This window comes from Homo sapiens, chromosome 6 (assembly GCF_000001405.40).
Source record: "Homo sapiens chromosome 6, GRCh38.p14 Primary Assembly".
Classification (NCBI taxonomy): Eukaryota; Metazoa; Chordata; class Mammalia; order Primates; family Hominidae; genus Homo; species Homo sapiens.
The window spans coordinates 141,837,317-141,845,542 of record NC_000006.12 but is presented as its reverse complement, the minus strand read 5'-3'; positions in this window follow the sequence as shown (position 1 = coordinate 141,845,542).

Here is an 8,226-nt window from a genome sequence, read left to right as displayed (position 1 = left end):
TGCCATCAGCTGACACCAAGATAATAATTTCAGAGGATAATTTGAAGGATTAAAGTGGAATTCTTCCCAAAAATTCTAAGAGGGGAATGTTGGCACAGAACAGATTGGAGTATTTAGCCAAGACTTGCATTAAAAAAAAGGTTAGCTTTTTAGATCATGTTTCCTTTGAAAGCGCAGAGGGCAGGAGACAAGAGGGAAGGAAACAGAGCAATGGCTCCTCTTTAATGGTAAGAATAACTATTTGGGTGGTGCAAAAGTAATTGTGGTTTTTGCCTTTGAGAGTAATGGCAAAAACTGCAATTACTTTTGTACCAACCTAATACGTGTTGTTGTTATAAGTTGACTCTCCTAAAACTTCCACAAACTCCCATTTAGAAATACGAATGACACACTGCCTCTTCTACTTAAGCTGTTCAGGAAATCTTGAAAAATAGCATTCTCCCACTGTGTGGCTAAATCTCTAGCTGGCTATTGTTCAAGGAAGTTCTGGAGGTGAAAATAATCGGCCTCTGGAGAATCCTCAGGGAAGAAAAACAAAGAGCAACATCATAAAGAGTAGATGACGCTCTTGATAATCTATAAAGGTAATGTTATGGTTGCAGTCACTTGTGTTCATTATGGGCATTACAGCTTAGTCATTAAGAGAGAGGGCTCTAGCTCATGTTACCTGGTTCTCAATTTCTGCTCTACAGTTGACCAGCCATGAGACCTCAGACATAGTTACATAGCTTCTCTGTGTGTCAATTTTTATATCCTTATGGTAAAAATAATAGCTACTTCATGGATGATTGTGGGGAAGATGAAGTGGGTTTTTCATATATTGCCTTTATTATGTTTAGGTATGTTACTGTTATGCCTGGTTTTTGAGTTTAAATCATAAAGGATGTTGAATCTTATTAAATGCTTTTTCTGCATCCACTAAGATGATTATACGTGTTCTGTGCTTTATTCTGTTGATGCATTGTATTACATTTCTTTATTTGCATATGTTGAACCATCTTTGCATCCCTGGGCTAAATCCCACTTGATGATGGTGTATTATCTTTTAATGTGTTTTTGGATTGGGTTTGCTAAAATTTTATTGAGGATTTTTGCATCTGTGTTCATCGGGGATATTGGCATTTAGTTTTCTTTTGTTGTTTGTGTCCTTGTCTGGTTTTGGTATCAGGGTAATGATGGCCTTATAAGATGAGTTAGGAAAAATTCCTTCCTCTTCAAATTTTAAAATATAGTTTGAATGAATTGGTGTTAGCTCTCCTTCATATGTTTTTTGTCATTTATCCTTATATGTTTCTACTGGAAAAAAGTAGGAAAATGTTTCAGGGCATTGGTCTAGGAAAAGATTTTATGGTTAAGACTTCAAAGGTATAGGCCATAAAATTTAAAAAAATAGACAAATGGAATGGGACTGTATTAAACTAAAAAGTTTCTGCACAGCAAAGGCAGTCATCAATAGAATGAAGAGACAAGTTGTAGAACGTGAAAAAGAAATATTTGCAAACGATTCATCTGATGAGGGACTAATATCCAGAATATATAAGAAACTCAGACATTCAACAACAAAAAATAATCCCATCAAAAAGTGGGGAAAAATCTAAATAAACATTTCTTAAAAGAAGAAATAAAAATGGTCAACAGACATACGAAAAAAGTTCTCAACATCAGTAATCATCAGGGAGATACAAATCAAAACCACAGGGATATATCATCTTAGCCCATTTAGAATGGCTCTTATTAAAAAGACGAAACAATAACAAATGCTGGCAAGAATGCAGAGAAGAGGGACTTCTTATACATTGTTGATGGGAATGTAAATTAGTACAGTAATCTTGGATAATGGTATGGAGATTTCTCAATAAACTAAAAATAGAACTACCATATGATCCAGCAATCTCACTACTGGATATTTATTCCAAGTAAGGGAAATCAGCATATCAAAGGGTACCTAAACTCCCATGTTTGTTGCAGGACTATTCACAATAGCCAAGATATGGAAACAAGCTAAGTTTTCCACAGATTAATAGATAAGAAAATGTGGTATGTGCATAAAATGGAATACTATTCATCATAAAAAGAATAAAATCCTGTCATTTTCAGCAACATGGATGGAACTGGAGGTCATTATGTTAAGTGAAATAGGCTAGGGACAGAAAGACAAATATCACATGTTCTTGCGCATATGTGGGACCTAAAACATTAATCTCATGGAGAATAGGAAATAGAATGATAGTTACCAGAAGTAGAGAAGAGTGAGGCAGAGAGGATGAGGTTGATTAATGGATATAGTCATATGGTTGGATATATGGAATAAGTTCTAGTGTTTGATAGGACGGTAGGGTGATTATAGTTAACAATAATGTATTGTATATTTGAAAATAGCTAGAAGAGTTGAAATGTTCCCAACAGAGAGATATTCTGAATGTTTGAGGTGATGAATATCCTCAGTACCCTGACTTGATCAACACATATTGTATGCATGTATCAAAATACCACATATACCCCAGAAATACATATAAATACTGTGTATCAAAAATATTGCCTGGCAGATAGAAGACACCTCATAGACACTATTACAATTAGTATTAACGTAGCTGTTATTGAGCCTTTGGTAGGTTTTTACAAATTATAAGCCCATTAAAGGGAGAACTGGAGAGAAAATATTTCTGTAATGTTTCCCCAAAATCAAGGAAAATATATACGCCTCCTCCCTTCCACAGCTGCTATAAGAGTTACACTGACAAACTAATAAATGTATATCTATTCTCATAGCAGTATTAAATATAAATATTACACATATCTCCCCTGAAATTTCTTAGAAAAATTATATATATATATATATATATGTTATATATATGTTGGTTTCACAACAGTTGGTTTCACAAACTGTTAGTCACAGAGAGGTAAAATATGCCCCATAGACATGATGTGAAAGAACTGGAATATGATTTTGCAGCCTGAGAAATTGTCTTTAGATGTTGTTACCTCAAAAGACGTATGTTCTTGGGCATGATTATCATATAAGAAGTGGTTCATTAAGACAGACGTCAGCAACACAATAGTAATAATTATGGAAGTAAATCATGAAAGTATGCCAATTTTGGTTTTTGCTTTTATAAAAGGGTATGTTTCTATTATTTCAGATTTATATTTAATATGTAAATTTATACTCTGGAATTTGGTAGGTTTAAAAATACAAATATAATAATAGTAGCATTCTAGAATGTTGAAAACAACAATTTTACTTGGACGAATGAGGAAATTGTAATAGGGAAATCAACATATATTTTATTATGTTATAGCTGTATTTAAAAGTTCATCTGAGAGTTTGCCTTATAACATTTTGTTTTTGCATTGGAATCTCTGATACAAAGTAAATTTGGCTTGTAGGACAAAGTAGGAAAGGGTTTCTCATATATATTTCTTACCCTTTTGTCTACCATTCAGTGACATGGTCACACAACCTCTAAGAATTATGTACATAAGATTGTGAATAGCAACTAAGGAAAAACTGAAGTTTTCCCATCTCTTACTCTTTTGCTACCCTAATAAAAATGATTATCTTCCTTTTTTCTAATTACTTATTATGTTAAATTTTAAATGTGATGCTTAATTAAGTCATCCACAAAAAAATTTCAGTTAAAATGTAGAGAAAAGATTGAAATGCCATTTCACTTTACCTAATCAGATTTTTCCTGCCAATGAGCAGGACTATTCATATTTGAAATATATCCTTCTAAGACTTTTTCTAACATCTAAGTGTGTACATGTATACATACCCGTATTAGTCTGTTTTCATGCTACTATAAAGATACTACCCGAGACTGGGTAATTTATAAACAAAGGAGGTTTAACCGACTCACAGTTCCACATAGCTGGGGAGACCTCAGGAAACTTAAAATCATGGCGGAAAAGAAAGCCAGCACCTTCTTCACAAGGCAGCAGAAGAGAGTGTGAGCATGTGAAGGAGGAACTGTCAAACACATAAAACCATCAGATCTCTTGAGAATTCACTCACATGAGAACAGCATAAGGGAAACTGCCCCAATGATCGAATCACCTCCCACCTGATCCCTCCCTCGACATGTGGGAATTATGAAGATTACAATTCAAGATGAGATTTGGGTGGGGACATAGAACCAAAGCATATCGATACTGAACTGAGCTCATATTCTCCATTATATGCTAGACCTTTATTTTCTAGCATCACTGTATATAGTCAGTTTGTTCATGCCAGTACTTATAGTTTTATTTAATTCTTTTTAACAATAGTATAGTACTTTATAATATAGTTACAATTTATTTACTTATTTGTCTCTCTGTTGTTAAATGTCTATGATGTTAACAATTGTTATTATAAGCCATGTTTCAATATTCAAAGAAGAAAAAACTGTAATGGCTGGTATATATAAAATAAACACTCAATATGATAAAGAACCACAGAGATCTAAATAAAAAATCATATACACACAAGACTGGCAAAAATAGAAAATTCTACCTACATTAAATGTGGATGAAGATGTGGAGTTATATAAAGTTACAGGTACTGATGATGTGTAACTTGGGACAACCATGGCGAAATACTGATGTGTTGCCTATGTTGCAGCAATTATTTTCATGGACATATAGCAATTCCTATGTATCCTTAGAAGTTCTCCTAAGTAGGTAATTGAGTAATTCTCAACCTAGTGTGTGATTTGGACATGTATTATTGGTAGTTGCCACAATGATTGGAGAATGCTACTTGTATTTAGTGGGCAAGACCACAGAAGGTAAACATGCAGGAATACACAGGATAATCCCATACAGCGAAGAATTGTTTTGTCCACAATGAGGTTTTCTTTCAATTGTCTTCCAAGACATTCACCTAGCTAAAACGTCTGTTTTAAATAATCTGAGTCCAGCTATACCTTCATTTTATATTAATAAAACCATTATTTTTATATGGTTTAATATAAGCTGAATTTTCTAGAAATGAATTTTCTTTCGTTTGTAAATTTATCATGCTGTTGTGTACCATTTTGAAACTGCCACCACCAGCAGAATAGCTCATGATATTTAAGTCGCCATTATAAATGTCCTATATCAGTATATATTTACAACATATTTACACTCCATATTTACCTCCTATGCCAATGTATATTTTCAACATAAAAAATGTTTTCTTTTTACAATATGATTTTTTTTCACAGATGGGTCATATACGTATCTCCCTACTTCATTATGTCTTCAAGCATAGTTAGGTCTGAGTAGTTACATATGAAAATACATATTTATTTTAATTTATTTTCCTTTTATTTCTGTTTTTTTCAGATGTATATATAGGTATATTATATTACCTGAGAATATTATTAAGGGAGAGTAAATGGCATGTGACTAAATAGTTGCTATAAAAAGGGAGTCTTGCATTTGACCAGATTGAGAACCACTATCATGTAAAAATTCTTAAATATGTGCACAAGGAATAATAATCATTAGTGTTCATTCTAGGGTGACCAAAAATTTGTAAATATCATAATATCTCTTCACAAGAAAATAAATTGTAGTCATTTAATACCAGAAACACCATTAAACACAATGCAGTTATTAAAAGAAATGAATCTAAGCCATAAGTATCAACCTACATATCTCTCAGAACAATATCCAATGCCAAATAGCTTGTATATTGATATTACCATGTGGAATAATGTATATAAACTTTAAATACTGAAAAACCTTATGATATACTATTTATATGTTTATATATATGTCATACACTATAAAAACATTTAAAACAGTAAACCCTAAATAATAGTATTGGCTCCACTGGAGAATATAGCAAAGAGGAAAGGGCTTAGGAATGTCTATACATAAGAGGCCATCATTCTATCAGAAATGTTTTTATTTCTTAAGCCAGATGAGTATGGAAGTGTTATAGAATTATCTTTAAATTTTGGTTGGTCTAAATATTTTATAATAACTTTAAAATTGAAAACATAAGACAAGGAACAATTCTAATGCTAAGTTTCAATACATATTATTCACTTTAGAATAAGGGTTGGTAGAGAATAAAATATAGTTATGTAATTAATTCTAAGCCAGTGCTATGTTTTAAATATCAAAGTTAAAGAGATGATTTTTCTCATATTCCAATAATTTTTTCAAACCATACAATCTTAAGGTTTATATTTGTACCATGCTTTTCTTGCCTGATGATTTTTCTCTTGAATTTTGAATTATGTTTCGTTTTCTTACTGAAAGAAGGGCAAATGAAAGAAACTCATTTCTCCATATTATTAATAGTTTCCAGGTCACCATACTTGATAAATGGCCTGGCATGTACTAAATTATTTCTAGGCTTACTTCACAATTATTATTTGTCATGCTCCAAGTTCCTTTTGTTATTCTTCCAGAATTATTATAGGTCCATTATATCTCCGATACCATGTCCTGCTCGCCCCTCTTGCCTCCAGCCCCATGTTTTATTGTTGTTTCCTTAGGCATGGAAATGTTACATTAAAAATATTTTTCCCTTAAAAACTTGAAAACTTAGCTGATTATCTTCTAGCATCTAATATTTAAAAAGCTGTTTTGGTATTTTATCTGCTCTTTGTAATTATTTTGCTTTTTGTTCTCTGTATCACTTTATGCTCCTCATTTTTTTCCTTGAAGTTTTATGAATATAAGTTCTTAAAAGAAATCCTATTTGCTATTTTGTGGATTTTATTATCTCAAGGCTTGTGCCTTTCTCCAGACTTAGCAAATATACAGCTTCCCTCCACTTTTTAAATTTTTTTTGATGCATCTCTCTGGTACCCTGTTAGATGATATTGACTTTCTGAATTGATCTTCCATGACTTCTAGCTTTTTTCACATATATTTTATTTTTTCATCTTTTGACCCTAATTGCTGGATGATTTGCATGGCATTTTCTCTTAATCTTTATTTAAATGTTTATGTTGGCAAACTTTCTCTAGATTACACCGAGGTAACAAATAGCTCTAAAATCTTAGTGACTTACAAACAGTGGTCTACTTTTGGTTAAGTGTTACATGTTGGCTCTGGTTCTATGTGTCTTGTTTCCTTCTGGACCCAGGATGAAGATACAGCCAGTTATCCGAGATCTTCTGTTTTCATGGCAGTGTGAGAAGAACAATGGTGGATTCATGCAATAACTCTTAATGCATCTTCTTAGGCCAAGCCTAATATTAGTGAGGTGGAAGCAGGCCAGACAGTACCTAGTGAAGCAAATATTTTGATCTTATACTATACAGAAATATTTTGAGCCTAGAATATGGCTATTATATATTTTTATCTTCTTTTTTTCTTTAATTGTTTTGTTTTTATATTATTCTGACTTCTCTGATTGATTGCATGATTTTTAAATCTTTCTGAGATTTACTTAGATTTTTCATTGTTCTTGCCATTTCCTTCTTTTCAGTAAAATGTTTAAATGTATTTCTTAGACAATTTTTCTTTCCTTCCTTTCCTTCCTTCCTTCCTTCTTTCCTTCTTTCCTTCTTTTCTTTCTTTGTTTTTCTTTCTTTCTTTCCTTCCTTCCTTCCCTCCCTCCCTCCTTCCTTCCTTCTCTTTCTTTCCTTTTCTCTCTCTCTCTCTCTTTCTTTCTTTTGAAACAGAGTTGCACTCTGTCACCCAGGCTGGAGTGCAGTGGTGTGATCTCAGCTCACTGCAACCTCTGCCTCCGGGGCTCAAGCGATTCTCCTGCCTCAGCCTCCTGAGTAGCTGGGATTACCGGCACAGGTCACCACGCCTGACGAATTTTTGTGTTTTCAGTAGATATGGGGTTTCACTATATTGGCCAGGCTGGTCTCGAGCTCCTGACCTCAGGTGATCTGCCCACCTTGGCCTCCCACACTGTTGGAATTACAGAAATGAGCCAGTGTGCCCGGCTTCTTTGACAATTTTTCTATCGTTTATGTTGATTATTTATATTTTTGCTGGTGGTTTTCCTCATTTGCCTGATGATACCTGATCATATTTATGAATAATGATTTGTTTAATTAATTAAAGCATTAGGAATCAATTTCCTATACAATTAACAGATTAATTTTTAATAATTATTTAGAGTAGTTTTAGATTGACAGTAAAATTGGGAAAAGGGCACAGCGGTTTTCTATATACTCCCCTTAATTGCCCCACTCAGGCATAGCCTCCTCCATTTCAACATCCGCCACCACAACAGTACATTTATCACAATTGATGAACCTACACAGACACATCATAATCACC